At 39.1% G+C, this 26,715-nt stretch overlaps 1 long non-coding RNA gene across 2 annotated transcripts, besides 2 other annotated features; it reads left to right on the top strand.

The window, feature by feature from the left end:
* Positions 1,247–2,446: an enhancer, noted in NCBI's record as "BRD4-independent group 4 enhancer chrX:102809676-102810875 (GRCh37/hg19 assembly coordinates)". NCBI's record gives its function as "activates an origin of replication core promoter dependent on BRD2, P300/CBP, MED14 and CDK7 cofactors, and independent of BRD4, by STARR-seq in HCT116 cells {active_cell/tissue: HCT116}" and the evidence as "EXISTENCE:reporter gene assay evidence [ECO:0000049][PMID:35650434]".
* LINC02589 (long intergenic non-protein coding RNA 2589) lies at positions 2,241–26,427 on the top strand. 2 transcript variants are annotated; one of them, NR_131237.1, is made up of 6 exons: positions 2,241–2,268; positions 17,960–18,153; positions 18,966–19,058; positions 19,238–19,287; positions 26,010–26,084; positions 26,297–26,427. It is a non-coding gene; the product is annotated as a long intergenic non-protein coding RNA 2589 (long non-coding RNA). The 2 variants fall into 2 exon arrangements; NR_131236.1 differs by lacking the exons at positions 17,960–18,153; positions 26,010–26,084 and having other exon boundaries at positions 2,241–2,618.
* Positions 23,458–23,527: an enhancer, noted in NCBI's record as "active region_29820". NCBI's record gives its function as "activates an Ori minimal core promoter by ATAC-STARR-seq in GM12878 lymphoblastoid cells {active_cell/tissue: GM12878}" and the evidence as "EXISTENCE:reporter gene assay evidence [ECO:0000049][PMID:35858748]".
* Positions 26,428–26,715: the final 288 nt, after the last annotated feature.

Below are 26,715 nucleotides of genomic sequence, written 5' to 3'. Positions count from 1 at the left end.
AGCTCCCAGCACACACCTGCGCCAGTTGTCATTCATGTGAGTCAGCACTCTCAGATATCCCAGCCAAGTGTAGCCTCCATGACCACAGCCCAGGTGACAGACACCACATGGAGCAAAAAACAACCAGCAGAGCTCAGTGAACACACAGAATCCTGAGAGATAAGTAGCTATTGTTTTGGGGTGTTTGGTTAAGCAGAAATGGATATTCAAAACATGCCATTTGAGTGTACTTTTTCTATCATTGGGTAATACAGGTATTCCCTTATTCTAGAAGCCTTGGTAGGACTTTGTTATAATTTTAGATATAGTCTGTCTGTGGGTTAATGTGTGAGTATAAACTTCTGAACATTCCATCAATTCCTTCTTGAAGAGATTTCCAAGATAAATTTTTCTGATGTATGATTTTCATTCTACTCTTGGAATTTAGAAATCAATTCCAATCCTTTTCCATAAGGTGAGCCTCCACTGTAATCATGCTTGTTAAGGGAGTAAGAAAGTGTTGTCATAAATGGCTCTGCAGGCCATATGGAAAACCATATCCTCAGAAGTTTGCTTGGTGAGTATACAATCAGAACAGAGAGGTGTTTATTCACTTTGAGAAATGTTCCTCAAAGAAGGTGTCCTGGAATATTTTCTCCTCCTATAGAGATAGCCTTTAGCAAGGAAGTCACTTTCCTTGGGCACACAAAGGCAGGACTCCTTCAGCAGATAGCAGATGGAATATGCATTTTAGTTCTTGACGTTTGTGGCTGTCTCAGCATAGCCCTGCTGGGTAGATAAGTCTGTCCAATTCTGTAGCTCATTAATAGGAAGCCCACATGCCAGCACATCTAAGACACATTCTCCAATCTCACCTTTACAGGGAATAAAGTTGATGTACTATTCTCCTTATGCTTTTGCCATAACTCTTAGTTGGTTTAGAGCTCAAACTTGGAGTGGCAGTTATTTTGGAGGCCGCTTAAAGACCCGAGCATTTTGGAGCAAGATCATAGAAACAGTTGGGAAGCCAGTGAGACCCAGAAAATGGAAGGAGAGATTTGAGCCTATTGGAAGACCCACTCCTGAGGGCAGAGCAGAACACATTTTCAAAAAGTTAATACATAATATTGTACATGTTTATGGGGTACATGTGATATTTTGTTACATGCATAGAATATGTAATGATCAAGTCAGGGTATTTAGGGTATCCATCACCTCGAGTATTTATCATATCTATATGTTGGGAACATTTCAAGTCCTTTCTTCTAGCTATTTTGAAATATGTAATACATTGTTGTTAACTATAGTCACCCTTCTCTGCTATAAAACATTAGAACTTATTTCTTTCGTACCAAGAGTTTTAAAGGGAAAGGGCCTTGGCTGTGCAACCCGTGGTTCTCCTTCTCAACTTGCTAATCAAGTAGCTGATTCCTGTGATAGAGAAGGAGTGAGTGTGCAGAGAGGATGGAATTGCTTTTGTCATGGATGCCCCACCACATGGATGAAAATATCAGAAATGGAGGGTAAGAATCTCCCAGGGTAACTCAATACCAACGGTCCCTGACTTATGGTGGTTCAACTTACGGTTTTTCCACTTTATAATAGGTTTAGTGATGTATTAAATGCATTTTTGAATTATGATATTTTCAACCTAAAGATAGGATTGTCAGGATATAGCCCCATCCTAAGTTGAAGAGCATCTGTATATGATTCAATTGAATAAGTTTCTGCCTACTAAGTAAGTATAATATTCTTGTCCTGATTCCTTGAAATAACTCTGAGATTTCTTAAATGACATATTTTGGTGTCTCTAGGTCATTCAGTCACATGATTATAGGCAGTCTCTTAGTTTTCTGCCACAGATGTCTGCTTAGCATGATCTGTGAGTTGTACCTGTTCCCCCTCAGAGGGCCATCTCATCACCGAGAGCCTTAGAATGGCTCCCTGGGTCTCTGTGTACTGATGATACTCCTCTACTGTCACTTGTAAGCAAGTAAAATTCCTGACAACAGAGACGTGCTTTGTTTCCACAACCTGTAAAATTCCTCCAATTGCTTGGGTCCCAGCCTAGTTCCTCTAATTATTACTATTAAATTTTCTCAGGTGGTGGCTTGAAGAATGAAGGTGTTTCGCTTCCAGGGAAAGGCGAAGGCTTGAAGGGGAGGGTCGTGCAGAAGCATTTTCGGTGTGGAGGACAAGCCTGCGCATCGCGGTTACCATAGTAACCTGACGTCATTTTGGCGACTGTGACAACCATGACGACTTTTTAATGGAGACCGACTTGGCCTGGTGAGGAGAGCAGGGTTTCGTCTTCAGGTGTTTAGACTCAACTGTGGCTGCGGGTGCTCTGCGATGTAGAGAGAGGAAGAGATCCCATATCCAAGTTGCCTTGTTCCCGCTTTGGGACAAGTTGCCCTCGCTGTCTGATGAGGCAGGGAGAAGTAGGACTCCCTTGGCCCCAGTGAATGTGGTGTCCTGCTCCAGGGGTGTCCCGGAGCTACTTTCCAAGTAAAGGCAAGGTGCCAAAAAATGAGACAGGTAAACACTCTCTCTGAGCCTAGCGTCTTCCTCTGTGAAATGGGGATAAAAATGCTCACCCACAGGATTGCTGGAAGCTTCAGTGATACAGGTGCAAGCCGGTAGGTAGCCCTGTGGTTATTGCAGGATGGTGAATGTCTGTATGAATTCAGGCCTCTTATTCCTTTTCAAATTTGTTATTGGGAGACAGATGGGAAAAGGAGAAGAAAAAGGCCCTGGTGAGAATCCCATTGTATCTCTGGTTGTTATGATCACTACCCAGTTGTATTATTGTCACTGGTCACTGACTCAGTGCCTAGCTTAATGCCTGGCACATAGTTACTCCAAGAAAGCACAGTGATTGCTGGCTTCTCTCTGTCCCTGTGCAGCTCTTCATCAGGTGATTGAGCTCATATCAGGTGTCTGAAGAAGGTAGGTTTTGAGGATCAGGGTCGTGATGGCTGCTGAAGCTTCTACTCCAGATTTGAAGGGCAGCAGTACTAAGGAGACCCCCAACACTTCCATCCCTGGTGGGATATGACACCTGGCTCAAGTGAGCTCATAGATCTGGACAGAAGCATGTTGTGGAATAGCTCTGTGAGGTTTATAAAATAGCCTACAAGCAGAGAAATTCCTTTGATCTCATCATTGGAGAAGAGGTTTAGCAGGTGGAATTTCCTTCCATCAGCAGCTATGTGCTTTGTGGTAGCTTCTGAGGCCCATGTTAAAGATGCCTTTCATTGTCACAAAGCAATGAATAGTTCATTTGGGGAAGCAACTGGATGTTTAACATGCATTTGCTATAGATTTACATATATTTTTCTGCCTATATAAATAATCATCAGTGATTCCTATGTATCTCTCAAATGGATATGGAAATATGCAGTCGTTAGGTCTTTCTAGCATTTTGAGATTGTAATATAAATTATATAAATTATCTCCTGGTGACCATGGTATTTTTCCATCCTATAATGATTTTTTAAGCCAGAAATTTTGCAAGTGTTAGTTAAAATGTCAGTTACTATACCTTAATAGTTTCAGAAATAAGAATTACCCTAGAATTCGCTCTATTATAATGATACTAAGCCATGTTCCCTAAAGTAAACAGTTACTCTTAAGTATCATCATCATTATTTTCTTAGAATGTAATATTTTTATTTTTGTACTTCAAAAAGAAATGAACATCCACTTTTCCAAAAATATTTAAACACTGCAAGTGATTATTATGGTTGTATGTAGTGCAGAACAATTTGATCAGACATAGTAATGATCTGGTAATATAACAAGAGTGTAGTAGTTGGAATCTTTTGGATGATTTAATTGCATCAAAAACTTATACAAATGTATTTCAAATACTTTCTTTGAGCCATGTTGACATACGATATACCGTACATGTTTAAAATATATAGTTTAATAAGTTTTAACATATGTATGCTCTCTCTGGTGAATCCAATATTATAGTCAAGATAATGAACATATTCATCACCTCAAAAAGCTTCCTTATGCACCTTTGTAATCCTCTCCATCTGTCTCTAGCTTCCCTCTCCATGCCAACCTGTCCCATTCCCGGACAATCACTGGTCTCCTCTTACCATAGATTAGTTTTTGTTTCTTGCCCTTTTAAGTAAATGGAATCATAGGATGCTTATTCTCCTTTGTCTGACCTAATTCATTTGTTAACCCCAAAAAAAGTGACTGAGGCAAGTGTCTCAATCACTAGAGGTTTATTGAGCCAAAGTTTGAGGACATGCCTGGGAAAACTGCAAGTCACAGGAGCATCTCTGACTTGTGCTTTACAAAGAGGGGTTTGGGAACTCAGTATTTAAGGGCAGAGAGCAAGCAAGAGGGAAAAAGGGAGAGAGGGTAGGCAGTGAGGCAAATGGTTACATTCTTGTGAGGCTCTAATTAGCGGTCAGTAAATCTGAGTTTTACATAAGATAAGATTTGAAAAGAGAGAGGAAAGAGTCAATTATGTATTCGTTTCAGGGTAGGTGGAAGAGTGATTGATCTTGTCTTTGTTCTGGAAAGATAAGCTTGTAACTGACACTGTCAGTGTAAGATTTAACAAAACTCAGTTTTAGGAGTTAAACTTAGGTTGCAGACTTAAGGTTACAATTGGCATGTGCTGGTTTTATAGGGGGATATGTATCCTGAAAGATTTAGGGGCTAGCAAGGAATTTCCTTGTGAGCAATATTTGAGGAAGGTCATCTGGGAAGGTATAATGCCTTTTACTGTTGTGGGAATCTGGATTATGTATTACGCTATGACACAGGGTTGTGAAATTACAGTTATCTGGGGACAAAGGTTGGTAATGTTGCACAATTCATTTCCCAGGCTTAACTTTTCCCTTGGCATGATGAATTTGGGAATCCTGAAATTTCATGTTATTTTACATATTTGACCTAATTATTTTTAGATTTATCCATATTGTTGTATATATGAATAGTTCCAAATTTGTTATGCTTTGGATGTTGCTGTTTGTGTCATATCTAAGAAATCTTCTCTGAAGCCAAGACTGCAACAATTTTCTCTTGTGTTTTCTTCTTGAAAATTTATAGTTCTAGCTTTTAAATTTAAATCTTCTTTTATGATCCACTTTGAGTTTTTTATGATGTGGTGTATAGATAAAAGCTTATTTTTGTTATCTACCTGTTCCAGCACAAGTTGTTGAAAGGATGATCTTTCTGCACTGAATTGTCTTTGCATTGTTGTCAAAAATCAGTTGTCCTTATATTTGTGGGTCTATTTCTGGACTCTATACTTTGTTCCTTTGATATACATTTCTTCCTTGAAGGCAATAGTGCACTGTTTTGGTTAATGTAAGTTTATAATGAAGCTTAAATTAGGTAGTGTTTTTCCTCCAACTTTGTTCTTTTACAATGTTGTTTTTCATAGTTTAGGGTCATTTGCATTTCCACATGATTTCTGGAATAAGTTTATTGATTTCTTCTTAAAAATATATGCTAACATTTCTATTGGAGTTGCATAGAATCTATACATCAGTTTGAGGAGAGTAGATATCTTAACAATACTGAGTGTTCTGACTCATGATGATGGCATTTCTCTCCATTTATTTAGGTCTTCTTTAACTTCTCTCCTCAATGTTTTGTGGTGTTCAATGTACAGGCCTTGCACACATGTGGACAGATTATCCTCAGGTATTTTACACTTTTTGATGCTATTATAAATGGCAGTATTTCTTTTTTTAGGCTAGAGTGCAGTGGTATGATCACAGCTCACTATAGCTTTGGGCTTCTGGGCTCAAGTGATCCACCCATCTCAGCCTACCGAGCAGGTGGGACCACAAGTGCATGCCACCATGCCTGGCTAATTAAAAAATTAAAAAAAATTTTTTTAATAGAGGTAGGGTCTTGCTTTGTTGTCCAGGTGGGTCCCAAACTCCTGGTCCCAAGCAATCCTCCCACCTTGGCCTCCCAAAGTGCCGGTATTATAGGCATGAGCCACCATGCCTGGCCTAATGGTAGTATTTTCAATTGCAATTTCAATGTATTATATTTTTACTGAATTGTCAGAAGCTGAGTGTTTAATACTAGCTGCTGGGGAACCTTTTTGGTTGAAAGCACAGGCTACTCTAGGATAGAAAAGATGCTTAATACTTAATGTCTGTATTAGTCAAGGTTCTCCAGAGAAATAGAACCAATAAGATATCTATATATCCATATATCTTTATATATGTATCTTTATATATATACATATAAAGATATTTATTTTAAGGAACTGGTGTATGTGATTTTGGACGCTTGGTGAGTCCAAAATTTGATGGGGGAGTCCAGCAGGCTTCAGACTCAGGAAAGAGTTGAAGTTAAAGTCCAAAGGCGGTGTACTGATAAACCAGGAAGAGCCAATATTACAGATGAAATCTGAAGAGTGAGCTGGCAGAATTCCCTCTTCTTTGGAGGATATCAGCTTTTTATTCTATTTAGGACTCCAGCTGACTGGATGAGGCCCACCCACACTGGGGAGGGCAATCTGCTTTACTTAGTCTGCCAATTTAAATGTAAATTTCATCCAAAAACACCCTCACAGAAACATCCAAAATAACGTTTGACCAAATATCTGGGCATTATGACCCAGCCAAGTTGACACATAAAATTAGTCATCACAGCATACATTTGCCAGTGTTTCCACTATCAGCTTTTATAAGTCATTGGTAATATACTGAAACCAGGGAGAAAATGTCACTGAGACATTTTTCTAAAGATCATCTCCAGAAAAATGAATTACTAAAATAAAATAGTTTTGTAGCTCTTGACTTTGTGTGTGGGTAGATTTTAATTGTGGAGTTTTCTTTTTATACTCCCAAACAAATCTACCTTGATGAATTCTTGGATACTTGGGTGATGAGAAAAAGAGGGAGAGAGCATGTATGTATGTGGGTATCTAGGTATGTATGAAGGTGTATATTGCTGAAGCTGCCGGGAATGTTTATTGTGAGAAAAAATTGAGGTTAATTACTGTGCATCATGTCAGTCCTATTCAGTTCTTAGCACATGTTAGGAATAAGATCGAGGAGGTGGTTGGTTTTTTGTTTTGTTTTGTTTTTTCCTCCCAGCTTTCCCTGGCCAGCATGGTTACCATGGTGACTCAGTGATTGCTATGGGATTTGGTGCAGAATGAAAATCTATTTACGATTCTTGCTTGAATCATTTACTACTGTGATAGTTGTCAGGGTTGCTTTTATAATTCTGTCACTTTGTTTAGATTTATTAATTGACATTTGACTGTTAGATATATATGGTTTTTTTTTTTTTTTTTTTTTTTGAGACAGAGTTTCGCTCTTGTCGCCCAGGCTGGAGTGCAATGGCGCGATCTTGGCTCACTGCAACCTCCGCCTCCTAGGTTCAAATTATTCTCCTGCCTCAGCCTCCTGAGTAGCTGGGATTACAAGCACCCGCCACCATGCCCAGTGAATTTTTGTATGTTTAGTAGAGACGGGGTTTCCCCATGTTGGCCAGGCTGGTCTCGAACTACTGACTGCAGGTGATCCACCTGTCTCGGCCTCCCAAAGTGCTGGGATTACAGGTGTGAGCCACCACACCCAGCTATTTATTTATATTACTGTGATTCATAGATTCCTGTTTTGCTCAAAGATATAACATTTGTTATTATAAATATTTATTTGATGCTCAAATTATTCCAGAATTGGCCAGTGGAAGCCCCTCAAGTTGACCTCAGTCCATTTGATGCCTTCCTAGAATTCCTGGAGCATGTATTTTGCTCTCTGAGCCTATCTCCCCATAGGTAAAAAGGATGCCAACCTCAGAGCATTGCTCTGATGATTTGAAGAGTGAAAGTCTGAAAATTACAACCTACCACATGTGTAGCATCTAGTAGGCCTTAAACAAATTTTAGTTGTCCATTCCCACTTGCCTTCATTCTGTCATTGTAATGCTACTGACATTAACATAGTAGCACAGTGGCTCATGCCTGTAATCCCAGCACTTTGGGAGGCTGAGGTGGGTAGATCACCTGAGGTCAGGAGTTCGAGACCAGCCTGGCCAACATGGTGAAGCCCCAACTCTACTAAAAATACAACAACAACAACAACAAAACCCAATTAGCCAGACATGGTGGTGCACTCCTGTAATCCAAGCTACTTGGAAGGTTGAGGTGGGAAGATTGCTTGAACCTGGGAGGCAGAGGTTGCAGTGAGCCAATATCATGCCACTGCACTCCAGCCTAGTTGACAGAATGAGACTCTGTCTCAAAAACAAAAACAAAAACAAAAACAAAAACAAAAGCATAATAGCATGATTACCAGAGAGAATATCTGGAAATGTAACACCAAGTAGTGATAATATTATTAAACTTTATTTTTTAAAAAATATTTCATTAACAAAGATTCTACATATTTAAGTTGTACAATGTGAAGATTTGACATACCTATACATTATGTAATGATTATCACAATCAAATTATAACACATCCATCACCACTCATGCTTTATTCTAGATTCCCAGAACTTGTTCATCTTAAAACTGAAAATTTATGCCCTTTGATCAACACCTTCCTATTTCCCTGACTTTCTAGCCTCTGGCAACCACTGCTCTATTCAGCTTCTATGAGTTTGACCTTTTAAGATTTTACATGTAAGTGAGATCATGCAATATTTTTCTTTCTGTGTCTGACTTATTTCACTGCTAATGTCTTCTAGGTTCATCCATGTTGTTGCAAATGGCGGTATTTCCTTCTTGTTTATGGCCGAATAATATATATATGTATATATTATGTGACATATTATATATACACACACACACACCACATTTTTTATATCCATTCATTCACTGATAAACAGTTACGTTTATTCCATATTTTGGCTATTTTGAGTAATGCTGTAATGAACATGGGAATGCAGATATTCCTTCAAGATACTGATTTCATTTCCTTTGAATATATACCTTGAAATGGGATTGCTGTATTGTATGGTAGTTCAATTTTTAATTTTTTGAAGAATCTCCATACTGTTTTCCATAATGGCTGTACCAAGTTACTTTCCCAGCAACAGTGTACAAAAGTTCCCTTTTCTTTACATACTTGGTAACACCTGTTACCTCTTGTCTTTTTGATAATAGCCATCCTTACAGCTGTGTGGTGATATCTCACTGTGATTTTGATTTGCATTTCCTTATGATTAGTGATATTGAGCACCTTTTCCTACACTATACTGTTGGCCATTTTTATATCTTCTTTGGAAAGTACCAATTCAGGTTCTTTGCTATTTTTTATTGAGTTGTTTGGGTTTTTTTTTTTTTTCCTATTGCATGGTGTGAGTTCCTTACATGTTTTGGATGTTAACTCTTTATCAGCTATGTGGTTTGCAGATATTCTCTCTCATCCCATAGGTTGCCTTTTCATTTTGTTGTTTCCTTTGCCATGCAGAAATTTTTTAGTTTGATGTAATTCTACTTGTTTATTTTTGCTTTAGTTGCCTTTGCTTTTGGAGTCATATCAAAAAAAAATTGCCAAGACCCATGTCAAGGAGCTTTTTCCCTATGTCATCTTCTGGGAGGTTTACGGATTCAGATTTTATGTTTAAGTCTTTAATGCATTTGAATTAATTTTTGAATATGGTATGAAACAATGGTCCAATTTCATTTTTTTTTGCATGTGGATATTCAGTTTTCCCAACACTATTTATTGAAGACACATTCCTTTCATCATTGTGTATTCTTGGTGCCCTTGTCAAAGATTAGTTGACCCTGTATGTGTGAACTTATTTCTCGGCTATACTCTGTTCTATTAGTCTATGTGACTGTTTTTATTATGCCAGTACCATGCTGTTTTGATTACTATATCTTTGTCCTATAGTTTGCAATCAGGGAATGTGATGCTTCCTGCTTTGTTCTTCTTTCTCAAGGTTGCTTTTGCTATTCAGGGTCTTTTGTGGTTTCTTATAAATTTTAGGATTGTGTTTTCTTTTTCTATGAAAAAAGTCATGGGAGTTTTGATAGGGATTGCATCACCTCCTTGGTCAAATTATCCAATGTGAAATAGATCTTTCACCTACTTGGTTAGATTTAATCCTAAGTATTTTATTCTTTCTGATTCTATCGTAAATGGGATTGACTTCTTTTTCACATAGTTTGTTGTTGGAGTATAGAAACACAGCTGATTTTTCTATGTTCATTTTGTATCCACAGTTTTACTGAATTCATTCATCAATTCCAACAGTTTTTGGTGGAGTCTTTAGGGTTTTATACGTAGAAAATCATGTCATGTGCAAACAGATAATTTAACTTATTCTTTTCTGATTTAGATGCTTTTCATTTCATTTTCTTGCCTAATTTCTCTGGCTAGGATGTCCAGTGTTAAGTTGAATAGACGTGGTGAGAGTGGACATCCTTACTTTGGTACTGATCTTAAAGGAAGCTTTCAGCTTTTCACCATTGAATATAATGTTAGCTGTGGTCTTGTCAGATATGGGTTTTGTGTCTGTATGTTGAGGCTCATTTCTTATATACCTAATTTGCTGAGAGTTTTTATCCTGAAAGGATGTTGAATTTTGCTGAATGCCTTTTATTCATCTATTGAGATGAACATATGGTTTTTGTTGTTAATTCCATTAATGCCATTTATAGATTTGGATATATTGAGTCACCCTTGCATCCCAGGTATGAATCCCACGTGATCATGTTGAATGATCTTTTTAATGTGCTATTTAATTTGGTTTGCCAGTATTTTATTGAGGATGTTTGCATCTATGTTCATCAAGAATATTGGCCTGCAATTTTCTTTTCTTGTAGTGTCCTTGTCTGGCTTTGTTACCAGGGTGATACTGGCCTTGTAAAATGAATTTGGAAGTATTCCCTCCTCTTTAATTTTTGGGAAGAGTTTGAGAAGAATTGGTATTAGTTCTTTAAAAGTTTGGTAAAAATTAGCAGTGAACCATCAGGTCCTGGGCTGTTCTTTGATGGGATACTTTTTATTACTGATTCAATCCCCTTGTTGGTCAGTTCATATTTTCATATTTTCTACTTTTTCATTGTTTAGTCTTGGTAGGATGTATGCATCTAGGAATTTATCCACTTCTTCCAGGTTACCCAATTTTTTGCCATATAGCTGTTCACTTCTCTTCACACTGTTCTTCTTCTCTTTTGAGGTAGTCTTTTATGAGCCTTTGTATTTCTGTGATGTCAGTTGTAATATCTCCTCTTTCATTTCTGATATATATATATATATATATATATATATATATTTTTTTTTTTTTTTTTTTTCCCCGAGACAGAGTCTTGCTCTGTCACCCAGGCTGGAGTGCAATGGCGCGATCTCGGCTCACTGCAATCTCCACCTCCCGGGTTCAAGTGATTCTCATGCCTCAGCCTCTCAAGTAGTCTCTCAAGGGATTACAGGCGTGCACCATCACGCCAGCTAATTTTTGTATTTTTTATGGAGACGGAATTTTGCCATGTTGAGCAGGCTGATCTTGAACTCCTGGCTTCAAGCTATATGCCCGCCTCAGCCTCCCTATGTGCTGGGATTACAGGCATGAGCCACCACACCGGGCCCATTTCTAATTTTATTTATCTGAGCCATCTGTCTTTTTTACTTTGTTAGTCTTGCTAAAGTTTTGTTGAATTTTGTTTAATCTTTTCATAAAATCCACTCTTGCTGTTGATCTTTTCTATCGTTTTTCTCATCTCTATTTCAGTTATTTCTGATCTGGTCTTTATGATTTCATTCCCTCTACTAACTTTGGGCTTAGTTTTTTTTTTATTTTTCTAGTTCCTTGATGTATAACATTAGGTGGTTTATTTGGAATCTTCTTCTCTTTTGATGTAGACATTAATTGCTATAAACTTCTCCCTTAGAACTGATACTGCCACAACTCATAAGTTTTGGTATGTTTCCATTTTGGTGTGTTTCCATTTCTATTTGTCTCAAGGTATTTTAAAATTTCCCTTTTAATTTCTTTACTAAAACAAGCAATTTTAATTGCTTGTTTAGGACAATGTTGTTTAATTTCCATATTTTTATAAAATTTCTGAAATTCCTTCTGCTATTGATTTCTAGTTTTATACTATTGTGGTAAAAAATACACTTGGTATTATTTTAATGTTGAATTTGTTAGGACTTCTTTTGTTGCCTAACATATGATCTATCCTCCAGAATATTCCATATGTGCTTGAGAAGAATGTATATTCTGCTGAGGTACAAAGCACAGGTATGCATGAAAGGACTATGGCTCTGGTATTCGGTGCAGTAATGTACCTGATGTCTGGGGTGCTGGCACTCCTGCTGTTGTGTTATGGCAATATGTAAGGTGAAAATTCTCATGAAGTAGCTAGAGAGCCAAGAATGGGAGCACAGATGCACACAAAGACAGACTCTGTCATTAGGGGAAGGTCTCGTTCTCTGTGGCATCTGAGCTAGCACCTTGGGTTGGGTCATGCATAGCGAGGACTTGGTTCTTGAGCCTGGAGTGTGGACTAGCTCATTATGGCAATGGCTCTGGTGTCTGAGTCATCAGTGGGCCCAGTGTAGCCACAGAGCCTGGGTCTGGAGTGTGATCACTCGCAAAGAGGTTATGGCTCTATGTTAAGGAATGCTCAGGGTTGGAAGAGGTGGTGGTTCCTTTCCTGAAGCAGCTCAATGGGGTGGCCACTTCTTGTGGAGAGGGAGAGGTATGCAGCTGTGTCTCCCTCTCTGGATTTCCCTGGTAGGAATGGCTGCTGGTTACCTCAGTGGCAAGGGATACTGGTGTCCTCTGTGGAGCACTCCTCTGGGTACCACGACAGTTCCCTGTGCATGGATGACATGGCACCTTTCTTCTTTGCTCATAGCTGTCTCCTGGTGTCTCAAGTATGCTGTTCTCACCAGAAATACTTTCTCTGTGGGTAATCTCCTTTTTTTTCTCCATTGTGCTGCTGCAGACTTTTTACTGGACCCTTGAGCCCTTTCTGGTCTATTTTGGTTTGTGAATAGATGTTTGTATTTGTTTTTGTTGGGGGATGAAGGCTGATATCTCCTACTCCACCATCTTGGTCAGTTTTTTTTTTTTAATTTTTGAGACTTTTCTTTATAGTTCCTCCTAAAGTAAAATATGATATTCTTTTGTTGCATGATTTTATCTATAGATGCCTACTTCATGGAAAAGAAGGAAAAAATAATTATGAGAACAAACACATGTTCACATCTCATCAGTGGGACCTGCCATATATGCCTCCTTGTTATGTGTATCTTCTTTCAGACTTGCTCAAACAGGCACACCGTGTTCTGTGGTGGACAGGTCTAGGAAAACCTACCCCCCAAAGTCCAAGGAAGCTGAGAGGCCAAAGAAAGAGGCTGATAAATCCAGTTTCTTAGAAAGAAACATGTAATAGGGACTAACAAACAGAAGCTATGTCTGTGCCTCAGACAGTGGTGAGACAAGATGGTGGATTCCCACCTAATTACCCTCCAAATCCAGGGCTTACATATCATAAGGAAAGGGTATACATGATTAAGAAGAAATGTGTAGGAAAATTGAAGTACAATAACATCAAGATTGTTTTGACCTAAGGGCAAGAATTATGGTAAATATGTACTCTTACACAAGGAACAATAGATAAACTGGAAAATTTTAGAGGCTTTCCTGGAACTGAGGTTAATCAGAAGTAAATATGGCAGATTAGCATCCAAGATAGAGTAACTTTAGCCTCCACATACCCATTTTCTCAGTTTATATGCTGCAGGGAGCACTAACAGAATCTGCAGATAATATTTGCTGTCACTTTTTAAATCTAAAGTGTCCAAAGTCTTAGAGTTTCCCAGGTGCCATCTAGCCCCAAGTAATGAACATGAAACATCTTTCCATTTGTCCATGCTTAGTTTTCCATCTTTCATTTACACTATTACTCATTACATTGTTATACTTGTACATCTGGAACCTAATCTGGAAAATCTTGGTGCAAAAAGGCAGTGATTTCTGGAATTTAGTTTTCATGTGTCCACACTACTACACAAATCCCTTGGTTGGTTTAGGGATGCATCCCATTTAGAACCTGACCTGATTTTGTGTTATAAGTGCTGGGCATGTGTATCTTTTCCATTCCTTTTATTATTTTTAATTGCACAAGGAAAGTACTTTAAGAGTGTTTTAATGTGCATATATTGATTGTTCCTGGGCCCTGGGCTGAGTGAGACTCTGACTCAACTTGTACCCCGAACCCACTGTGTCAGGATTCTCCCCTTCCAGAGGCTGTGATGCTGAGCCCTGGGTGGTTTCATGCAGTCTCTCCCCGTTTCCATCCCTTGTGGAAGTCACTGCTTGGCTAACTAGGTGGCTAAACAGAGGAGCCTACTTTCAATTTAAGGGGATGTATTTGGGAGAATACAGAGAGAGACATTGTGTTCGTGCATTTTGAGTTGCTATAAAGGAATAATACCTAAGGCGAGGTAATTCATAAAGAAAAGAAGTTTATTTGGCTCACAGTTCTGCAGACTGTACAAGAAACATGGTGCCAGCATCTGTTTCTGGAAGCTTTTACTCATGGTAGAAGGCAAGGGGAGGTGGCATGTCACACGGCAAGAGAGGAAACAATAGAGAAAAGAGGAGGTGCCTGGCTCTTTTTAACAATCAGATCTTATGGTAACTAATGGAGCCAAAACTCACTCATTACCACAAGGATAGCACCAAGCCATTCATGAGGGATCTGCCCCCATGACCTAAACACCTCCCACCAGGCCCCACCTTGAGCATTGGAGATCACATTTCAACTTGAGATTTGGAGGAGACAAATATCCAAACTGTATCAAGCATGTTATGAAACTACTTTCATTTCATTTTCATTTCATGACCTTCACTAAAATCCTAGGAAGAAGAGACATTGTCTGACAGCAAAATGTAAGGTTCATTTGAGAAACATGCTTCTCCTTTCCCTGGGCATCTGTAATGTCGCTGAAGCTACTCAGTTGGGGCTGTAATTTCCCTGATGCTGCTCAGCTTTTCCTGAAGCTATCATGTGGATAGATTGATACATTAGTTTTGTGACAACCATATTACCTAGTTCCTTTGGCTTAGGGATGTTCCTCATTCTGATGCTAAGCCATTTTCCTATGGGAAGGACTGGAGATTTTTTTTTTTTTTTTAGATTATTTTTCTCACTTCCAAACCTAACATGCTTTTGTTGGAAAATGCACAAAAGGAAAAATATCATTAGAAACCCTAAAAATTCTATTACTCATGGATAAGAACTGTTAACTTTTGAATATTGCTATGGTTTGAATGTCCCTTCCAAAACTCATATTAAAATTTTATTGACATTATAACAGTGTGGAGAGGTGGGGCCTTTGAGAGGTGATTAGGTTATGATAGCTCTAGCCTCATGAATGAATTAATGCCATTATTGTGATAATAAGCTTCTAATAAAAGAATGACTTCAGCCTGGTTTCCTCTGTCTTCTGCACTCACTTCTACTTTCCACACTTCCATCATGGGATGACCCTTGCCAGATGCCAGCACTGTGCTGTTGGACTTGCCAGCCTTCAGAACAGTGAGAAATACATTTCTTTCCTTTATAAATTATCCAGTCTCTGGTATTCTGTTATAGCATCAGAAAATGGACTAAGAGAAATAAACATTTTTCCAGAAGTTTTACTATGCAAATGTAACTATACTTAAAACAAAAATCAGATAATATCCTACTTACAGCTTTATAAACTGCCTTTTTATGAAAAACATATTTTGAAGGTCAATCTATATCAATCAATATAAATCCACATAATAACAAAAATGGCCATAGAAACAGTAATGGTCTATTCAGGTATAATAATAATAATAATAATAATAATAATAATAATAATAATAGCTAATGTTTATTGTGATTTCCTCAATGCCTGATACTGTCGCAGGTGCTAAACATATACTTAATCATTTAATCCTCACCACATTATATGATGAGGCACTGTTGTTGTCTGACTTTAAACATAAGGGAACTGAGGCATAGTGAGGGCAGGGCTAGCAAGTGCTGAGACTTCAATTTGAACACAGGCAGTGTGGCTCCTGAGCTCCTACATGTAATCAGTATATGCCACTGCCTCTCATATGAGAACACCAACCTTATTATTTATCAGAATAAAGCAAAATACATGAAATTAAGATACTATGTCTTCCCCCATTTGACTAAGCAGAGATTTAAAATATTGAAAAAATGAATGTGATTTGGAATTTGGGGAAATGTGTCCTGGAATACTGTGGAAGGGGCTGACCAGCATCTTGTCTCCCTTCCTGTTTCTCAAAAGACGTTCCTATTCTGAGTGGAGGGGCTTTGCTGTAGGTGGAGCAGAGAATGGTTATGTTTCCCAGTGATTTTATCCTTTTGTATATTTATAAGACCAATAGGTGTTTATTACAGTTAAAAAAGTGAAAACATAGGACATAAAATAAAATAACCATTCCTCAAACATAACACCTAAAGATAAGACCTGCTAATGTTTTCATCTGCATTATTTTCTTAGAAGTTTTCTCATGTAGGAATGTATATGCTTATGCATGTATGGATGCATTTATATATTTATATGAAAAAGATAAGATCTCATTTTAGTTTTTTAACCTGCCTGTGTCAATATAGTGGGTTGGATAATATCCTCCAACAATATATGTCCAAGCCTTAGCCCTTAGTACCTGTGAATGTGATATTATTTGGAAATAGAGTCATTGCACATATAATTTAGGATCTCAAGATGAGATGATTCTGGATTTAGTGTGGGCCCTAAATCTAATGACTAGTGTCCTTGTAACAGAGAGGATGGGGAGGTTTAACATACACAGGAAAGAAGCTCATGTGAAGAAGGAGGCAGAGATTGGAGTTATGCTGCCATAAGCCAGGGAAAGCTATGAGTCATCAGAAGCTGGAAGAGGCAAGAAAAAAATTATCCTCCCAAGTCTTCATAGGGAGTGTGACCCTGTCAAAACCTTGACATCAGGCTTCTGGTCTCCATAACTGTAAGAAAATAAATTTCTGCTGTTTAAAGCCACAAATTTTGTGGTAATTTGTTGTGGCAACCCTAGGAAACTAATATACTCACTAACAACATCTAAACAATATCTAAATGTCAATAATATCTAAAATGTCATTAATTGTAAATAAACACCAGTCTATGTCTTATATTGTTATGGCTATAAAGATAGTAATATCAGTGACACATTAAAGAAATTTTTAAATTGACTAAAATTTCTTGTACCAAGTGATTTTTATATGTATTGAGTCATTCACTGCTCATAGCTCCCTTACGAGATAGATATTGTGGCTAATCTCTGTTTTATAGACGAAAAACTGAGGGACAGAGAGAATGACTTTGCCCAAGACTACACAGTTAAGGAGTAGGTCAGCTTGGATTTGTGTCCAGTACATGTTGCTCCAGAGCCTGGAAGCTGTCACAAATTTGTTAAGTGAAAGCAGTCTGCACAGTGAGCATATTTTAGGAGGTCATTAAAAGTAATACTAAGTATTTTAATATAGTTACACATTTATGCAAACACTGGACTTAGTGACAAAAGGTGGTTTGTGATCTTGGAGAGCCTGTTCGTTGCAATCAAGGAACAGAAGCCATGGTAGGGGGATAAGGAGTCAATAAAGTGAACGATGTTAACAGAGACTGTAGAGAACTGTTTTTGGTACCTTGAATTTGAAGGAGGGGTAGGGAGAGACAGAGAGAGAATGAATTAAATATCCTATTGCTGAATGGGTAATAAGGGGTTAAGGAGGGATATTTTAAAATCTTCAATTCCTTTAAACTTAAGTACATTCAAAAACTAATGTAAAGGAGCTCTCTAATCTCAGATGTAACCTTGAAGTTGCCCACGTATTTATTTCCCTACTACCATCTCATTATGGAGTTAATGAGACACCTCCATTGGAATACTATGGGCTTTGAGTGCAATGCAGATTTAGTTATTAGTAATTAAAAGTGGGAAAACTGTGTGAAAGAAATGCTCATAACTCTTGGACTTTTACCTCTCAGGGAGGCAGCAGGCAGCTGAAATTCTGGCGTGCTGTGGCTGGATAATGCATGATCTGAGGACCCCTATACTGATGACTGTGGATGGGGCCACATTTTTTTCTGCAAATATATTCATATACTGAGCAGTCAGGAGCAGCCCTTAGGCAAATACCACACCTTGCTTCTCTGCTGTGATTGATATCTGAGCTCACCAGGTGAGTTCAAAAACATGCCCATGTTCCCAGCATTGGGAACTGGGTCTGCTGAAAGGCCTGATGTTGGCCAGCTTTTATGAGATTATGAAGCACCCAAGAATGTAGAGAACATTCTGTTTCTAAAACTTTGAACTCAAGGCATATCAGAGAGAGATTTGCCTTCCTTATATGGATGTCTGTGTTCTCATTAGGAGAGAAACAATGAAAAATAACTTTTCACAATGCCTGCCTTAGCCTTGAGGCTTAGCCAGCCCCCATTTCTGTGTCTCAGCATTTAAAGGGCCATTGAAGTCCCACTCCTTGCTATATACTCTCAAGAGGTTTTCTCATTAACCCCTCAGGACAGCTCTGTAAGGATGGTATGGTCAGTCCAATTTCACAGATAATCAGGCTCAGACTCACAGAGTCTAAACCACCTAAAGTGGCAGGACTGGAATGAGGTTCCATCTCTCACCCTCCCTAGAGGACCCTGAGCAGCCTCCCTTTTAAAAGATGGGCATCCAGGGATTGAGAAACGGTCAGATTCCATTGCCCTGCTATTATGGCCTCATGCATCCTCACTCCACAGCCCCTCTGGGTGAGGAAGAAGACAGAGAGATGATATCCTGCCCCTTGTGCTGAGAGACCTGGTTGTTAGGCCGCATGAATTGGCTGATCCCTGAAGTGGTGAGTGGGCTCAGTCAGAAGCTCAGGTGTTGGCCTTGGGACGGGTGAGCAGGAGAGAAGGAAAGTAACATGCACTGAACTACTGAAAGCAAATGCACTCTATATTTCATCTCCTTTAATCTTTTTGTTTTTGTCTGTTTTGGTAGAAACAGTGTCTCACTATGTTGCCCAGGCTTGTCTTGAATTCCTGACCTCAAGTGATCCTCCCACATCAGCCTTCCAAAGTGCTGGGATTACAGGCATGTACCACCTCACCTGGCCTCCTTGAATCTTAATTGCTATCCAAGGTACCCATTATTCAGATGAGGGTGCTGCCTTTAGGGGAGTTTTTGTGAATCGAGGAGAAAACTTTATCTCCTGACCAGCTGCTAACTCTGGAATACTCTAAAGTTTTATCATTTTCTCTTGATGCCTCCAGGTCTCTGAATGCTCTAATCTCCCTCCTGGCTGACAGTACGGGCTCCCCAGGTATTTTCCAAAGTTTTTTCTTTTTAAATTATGACATGTATAATTTTTTAAGTCTCATTATGGAAATTTAAAATGCTTTCCAAATGAAAAATAAAAAACCAGTAACAATTGTATTAAGGGAGAAAACATTTTCAAACTACATCTCAGATATTGGGTTGGTGTCTGTGATTTGTGAAACATAGTAACAAAATGATTGGCAACAATTTCAACAGATAATTCAAATAAGTATATATGTGAACAATAAATATTAGAAAACACAGAAACCACAAGAACTAATGAGATGCAAATATTTTAAAATCCTGAGAATTTATAATAATTGGAAACAACAAGATACAAAAGATGAGGACGTGATTGCACATTTGGAACAGACAATATGTGTGTGTTTGTGTGTGCGCGTGTGTGTGTGAATGTGTTCATGTGCACCTCACAGGAGCACATCTGGAGAGTATGCACCATCCTAGGGACAGTAGACCCCTTGGAATCAAAGGGTGGGAGTTGGACCAGTGAGAGTGCAGATTAATTTCAATTTATGAATGTACTCATATATTGTTTAAAATTCAGTATTTGGGAATACAAATATTTTGATAAAAATTTGAACACAAGATAGTTTTGAACTGATTGTCAAAGATAATATGCACATATTTTCATTAATTTGAAAAAGAATTCATTGTGTTATATTATGAAAGAAATAAAAAATTTAATTGAATCTGTGTGTGTGTGTGTGTCCTCTAGCTCTGTCACCCCATATACACACTCACAGATGTAGCATTATCTTTAATTCAGATGGGAGCTGCAACCAATCTGAGTTTTATATATCCTAGAACATGATGAATACAAGGAGACTGCTATCATTAGATCAATAATTCAAAAAAACCTCTGGCTGATATAGTGAAGCTAACTTCCAACCTCAATCCCTCTCCCTTCCCTGCTGAGCCTCTGGTCTGACTCTCAATGCTGCAATCCTGTCTTTGGCTACCAGGAGGCATCACAGCTATCTCCATGTCTTTTGTTCTTTTATTAATGAAAAGGGAGTACATTTTGCTAAGAGTAACAAATGTTATGAAGTGATTTGTTTACTCTGACACCAGTTCTATTTGGAAAATTCACATATTAAAGCAGGTCCATTTGCTGTTGACCCCAAATCTACATCATATTCATTAATTTATCTCTTCCCTCCACGGTGTAGGTTGAGGTGTCCATAAAGTGGATAGGTTCCTCCCAGAGAGCAGGGTGTTGCATTCTTCATTACTGCACCCCTGTACAGGCTTCCCAGGCCTTCTCCCAACCCCTCTCAGTCATCTTCTCTCCTGGACACTATGAACAAGCTGCCCAGGTCCTATATCAGTGACCCATCCACTCTCAGCCACCTCCTGCCTGCCCTGCACTGACCAATGACGACTGGTGACTGCCAAGATGCACTAGAGCTACCTGGTGTTTCATGGCATGGATTTCCTGGAGCATATGTTTTTACAGTCTTGTTTTTTACCCCTATCATTTTTTTTTCCTTCTGAGTATGGGGAAGTGGATTTGGGTCTGCTCAGAGGCATGATGCTGAACAGCTTTTATGAGATTAGAAAACACCCAAGAATGTAGAGAACATTCTGTCTCTAAAACTTTGAACTCAAGGCATATCAGAGAGAGATTTGCTTTCCTTATATGGATGTCTGTGTTCTCATTAGGAGAGAAACAATGAAAAATAACTTTTTACAATGCCTGCCTTAGCCCTGAGGCTCAGCCAGCCCCCACTTCTGTGTCTCAGCATTTAAAGGGCCATTGAAGTCCCACTCCATGCTATATATTCTCCACAGGTTTTCTCATTAACCCCTCAGGACAGCTCTGTAAGGATGGTATGGTCAGTCCCATTTCACAGATGACTAACTCAGGCTCACAGAGTCTAAGTCATCTCCCCAGGTAAGTGGCAGGATTGGAATGAGGTTCCATCCTTCGCCCTCCCTAGAGGACCCTGGGCAGCTTCCCTTCTAGAAGATGGGCTTCCAGGGCTTGAAAAATGGCCAAATTCCACTCCCCTGCTATTGTGGCCCCACGGGTCCTCCACTCCACAACCCCTCTGGGTGATGAAGATGACAGAGGAGATGAAATCTTGTCCTTTGTACCAAGAGACCTGGGTGTAGGGCCACATGAGTTGGCTGATCCCTGAGGTGGCGAGTGGGCTCAGGCAGAAGCTCAGGTGTTGGCCTTGGGAGAGGAGAGCTGGAGGGAAGGAAAGTAACATGCACTGAACTACTGTAAGCCAATGCACTTTATATTTTATCTGCTTTAATCTTTTTTTTTTTCTTTTTTTGGTAGAGACAAGGTCTTGCTATGTTGCCCAGGCTTGTCTTGAATTCCTGGCCTCAAGAGATCCTCCCTCCATGGTATCCCAAAGCACTGGGATTACAGGCATGAACCACCTTAACTAGCCTCCTTTAATCTTAACTGCTATCCAAGGTACCCATTATTATGACCATTATTCAGATCAGGGTGCTGCCTTTAGGGGAGTTTTTGCAATCCAGGAGAAACTTTGTTATCTCCTGACCAGCAGCTAACTCTGGAATACTCTAAAGATTTATCATTTTCTCTTGATGCCTCCAGGTTTCTGAATGCTCTAATCTCCCTCCAGGCTGACAGTACGTGCTCCCCAGGTGTTTTGGAATGTTTTTTGTTTTTCAATTATGACATGTATAATTATTAAGTCCCATTATGGAAATTTAAAACATTTTCCAAGTGAAAGATAAAAACCCAGTAACCATTGTATTAAAACAGGGGAGAAAACATTTTCAAACTACGTCTCAGATGTTGGGTTGGTGTCTGTGATTTGTGAAACATACTCATTAACAAAACAATTGGCAATGATTTCAACAGAAAATTCAAATAAGTATATACATGGACAATAAACATATTAAATATGCAAAAACCACAAGAACTAATAAGATGCAAATATTTTAAAATCCTGATAAATTATAATAAGTGGAAATGACAAGATGAGAACTGTGATTGCACTTTTGGAGAAGACAATGTGTGTGTGTGGGGGGGGGTGGTGAACGCGTTTATGTGCATCTCACAGGGACACGTCTGGAGAGTATGTGCCATCCTAGGGACAGCAGACCTTTTGGGGTCAGGGGGCAGGAGTCAGGTCTGTGAGAGATGCAGGATAAAATTCCTATTTTTGAGTATAATTTTGCATATTTTTTGAAACTTTATATTAAGGAGAAGAGTATTTTGATAAAAACTTGAACACAAAAAATCCTTATGAAGAGACTGACAAAAGAATTGTATACATGTATTCACTAATTTGTGAAAACATTCAATGTATTCGATTTTATAGTGAAACAAAATAGATAAAAATCGAATTGACTGTGTTTCTACATGTGTGTGTGTTTGTATCTGTGTCTCCTCCAGCTAAATTACTCCAAATACACACTGACAGGTACAGTTTTACCTTCAATTTAGAGGTTGGTGGTCTAGAACTAATCTTGCTTTTAGATATACAGGAAAATGAAAGATACAGGGAGATTGCTACCATTAGGTGAATAATTCCAGAAAACTTTGGCTGATACTGAAGTTTTCAGCCAAGCTCCTAACCTCCATCTGTCCCTCCCAGTTGATGAACCCCCTAGTCTGAAACTCTCAGAGCTGCAATCCTGACTCTGGCCCGACGTGATATCTAACTCCATTATTATTTTCCTTTTTCTAATGAAAAAGAGTACATTTTTCAAAGAGTGGCAAATGTCTTGGAATTGTTTGTTTACTGTAAGTTTTCTTTGGAAAATTCACATGTATATTAAAGCAGGTCCATTTGCTGTTGACCCTAAATCCACATCTCATTCATTGATTTATTTCTTCCTTTGTTAGTGCAGTTTGAGGTGTCCATACTGTAGAGTGGTCCCTCCCAGGGTGTAGGTTGTTCACTCTCCATTACCCCACACCTGAACAGGCTTCCCAGACCTCCTCTCAGGCATGCCCTCTCCGGGACGCTATGGACACAGCCGTCCAGACCCCATTCCAGTGCCCCCATTCTCTTCCACTCACCTCCCGCTGCCCTGGTTTGCGCTACACCAGCCTGCTAAGGACTGCCAAGGCTCGCTCCTCGTACGTGGTGTTTCATTGTATAGACGCCATGGAGTACATGTTTTTGCAGTGTTCTTTTACACCTATCAATTTTTTTCTGGAAGAATTAGAATCATTCTGTCCATAGGTTCATAGACTGGGTTTTAGTGGAGGGTATTTTATTTTTTCGCTCATTGCGTAAACGTCTTTGTAGAGGTTTGATTATGAAGGTACGTTGGTGCCCCCTCGTGACAGAAGCCTGAACTGCAGCTTTTACGTCTGAGCAGGAAGGTGGGAAGGAGCAGTTTGGCCCAAGCCCACTCTATGGAGTTTTCTGGAAGTCTGGATGGAAAATGGAGCAATTCCAGGCTAAAAGAATATTTATGGCCTCCAAACAAAGTGCAGCCTCTCACTATGCTGAGGAGAAGGCTTTATGTGGGAGCAAGAAAAATATTATTTTTATTTGTATGCTTTGAGTCCTCTGCAAAAATAGCTGTAGATGGATATGAGCAAAAATGGATCCTGGCTACTTATGATCTTTGTAACCTGCCTTTGACTTTATTATGACAATTTTTCCATGAAAATACATGTCTACCATAACATTTTAAATTACTTTACAACATAATTTTAGTTTTTATTTTTGCCATCAACTGGATGTTTCATCTTATGGATGGTACCACATTTATTTCACTTTGAGATAAAAATGTAGTTCCTTTACCATGTTTTATTATAAACAGTAGCAAACATAACATCCTTGCTCACATATATGCAAATGTATTTGTAAGAATTTCTTTATGAGATTGTCAAAATGCTCTTTTATTATGAAATCTATAAAGTTTTATATTAACACAATACATGATAACATTATTACTCATATATATTCCTACTAATATGGTATGAAAGTGTCTGCTCACACACTGGAAATAATGTTGATTATTGATAACTGGTTAGGCAAGAAATCATCTCTCATCATTGTTTTCATTATAACTTATTTTTACTGCCTCCTAGAATTCCATCCTATGGATGTGACATAATCAATTTTCACAACCCTATGTTATTCAGAGTGTCCTGATATTTCCTTTAATCTACACTGGCATCTTTTCAAGGTCTGTGCTCTGCTGAAGGGCACAGTTCCTGTGGCTGTTTGCACTGAGCTGAATGTGTCCTCTTGGAACACAGCAAACTGTCTTAGAAAAATTCTAGTATTGTGATAATAGAACCCAATTAGCGCATGAATGTGGGGGAGTGTGTGTGAATGTGTGCAAGTGTGTGTGTGCTGACAACCACACTTGCCTCTGCTTCCTTCTGCCTCTTCATGGTTTTGCATCCTGTTTGGTCTCCCTTTCTAAATTCAGGTCTAGCAGTGAAGAGAGGGTATTGTTAGGATGGCAGTCCTTATAACCAGACCCTTATCAACATCCTTCACTACATCCTGAAGTTAAACTTTTAAAAAGGAAATTGTTGGTGCTTAGTGTATGCACCTATGTAACCTTTTGATAAGTATTGTCATGCTGACACCCAGAATGTTGTGCCATTTAGGCTCCCCAAAGTGGAACAATGTGAAAAAGTTTGGAGAGGGGTGAGGAAAGTAATAATGCTGGCATCCTGTCACAGAGGGAAGGCCCGGGACCCTGTTGTGGTCCCACTCTCAAGCCATCCCAACATTTGGAAGACATGAAAATGATCAGACCTGAATTAGACTTCAGGTAGCATGTGGGGTGGGGGAAAGGTCATTGGAGGAACACAGGACGTAGAGTCAGGGCTGGGATACAGCTACAGCTTTATGTACATTCGTGTTTATATAAGACATGTGCATCAAGGCCTTTTTATGAAAAATTTTGGTCATTCCTGTGGTACAATAGAAGCCTTGGCCAATATTTTTTAAACAAATTTCTTGCAATATTATTTATAGACAATGGAACCCATTCATTTTAAGGTTGGTGATTTTTATTAAATGTATAGAGTTGTACAACCATCACCATAATTGAGTTTCAGAAATTTCAATTGTCCCCAAAACTCCCATTGTGCTTCAATGCAGTTAAACCTGCACCTATCCTCAGCTCTTGGAACCACAGTTATGCTTTGTGTGTCTGTGGATTTGTTCATCCTGGACATTCATATAAATGGAATCATGCCGTATTTGGTCTTTTGCATCTTTCACTTAGCATGATGTTTTTAGGGTTCATGTGTATTGTAGCATGTAGCAGAATTCATTCATTTTTTAAAGGCTGAATAATATTCTATTCTAAGGATATACCACATTTTGTTTATCCATCTGTCTATTGATGGTCATTTAGATGATTTCTGCTTTTTGCCTGTTATGAGTGATGATGTTATATACGTTTATGTACGAGTTTTTATGTAGACATAGGTTTTCATTTTTCTTGGCTATGTACCTAGGATTGGGATTTCTGGGTCATATGGTAAATCTCTGTTTATTCATCTGAGGAACTGCCAGACGACTTTCATAACCCTGACAGTCTTGAGGAGTACAGGCTCAGTCTGTTGCTTCTCTTGTGATTTGACTGTGGTTACAGATTTTGAGAAGGAATACCACTAGTTCCGGTGCCCTTCTTGTCGCATCATATCTGGGAGTATACGATGCCTGCATGATGTCACTGGTGATGTTAACCTTCATCATTTGGTTAAGGATGGTGTTTGTCATGTTTCTCCAGTGTACAGTAACTATTTTTCCTGTATCGAGAGAGCATATGGAGAGAAGAAGGAAAACACATGTTTCTAATTTCACTGTGAGTCACTGTCATTTCTATGTGGTGGAATGAGCACCCTGCTGGGCCTGGGGGAAGGGAAGAAAGCGGTTCTACCATCTCCATCCAACTGAGTCATGGACCCCATGAGTGGAGTTTGGGGTACAGGGATGAAGTCATCACTCACCCCATTTCTTACTGTTTCATAGTTTTTCCTACCTCCTATTTTCCCCCCACCCTGTTGTATATGACAGAAATATGTTTCCTTTGCGCTCCTGAGGGGCTTGATGAAAACCTTATACTATGTCTGCTGGACAGGACACTGGAGCAAGAGATACTGGAGATCTCTCTGCATCCTGGCACCAAACCCAAACCAGTAACTCTGGGACATTCTTGACTGAGGGGTAAGTCACTTCTCCTGCTAGCCTCCCTTAGAAAGTGCATATTTCTGTTATGTGGGAGCTTCATTGCTGTGTGGTAGAGTAATGGTGAGGCACACAGAAGCAGGTAGAGATGGAGTGCCTGGTGGGTGAGCCAACACCCAGGGCACAGGCTCCAAGACTTGTGCTGCCTGATTCACCCTTCTCATGGTCTGGGTCTTCCCATCTTTCGGTCGTCTCTCAGAGTACCTTGGATTCCTGTTACATCCCATACTGTCACAAAGAGCAGGGGA

Source organism: Homo sapiens, chromosome X, assembly GCF_000001405.40.
Source record: "Homo sapiens chromosome X, GRCh38.p14 Primary Assembly".
In the NCBI taxonomy this organism is placed as follows: domain Eukaryota; kingdom Metazoa; phylum Chordata; class Mammalia; order Primates; family Hominidae; genus Homo; species Homo sapiens.
Note: the sequence above shows the minus strand (reverse complement) of the source record. Positions and strands in the feature narration are given on the sequence as shown.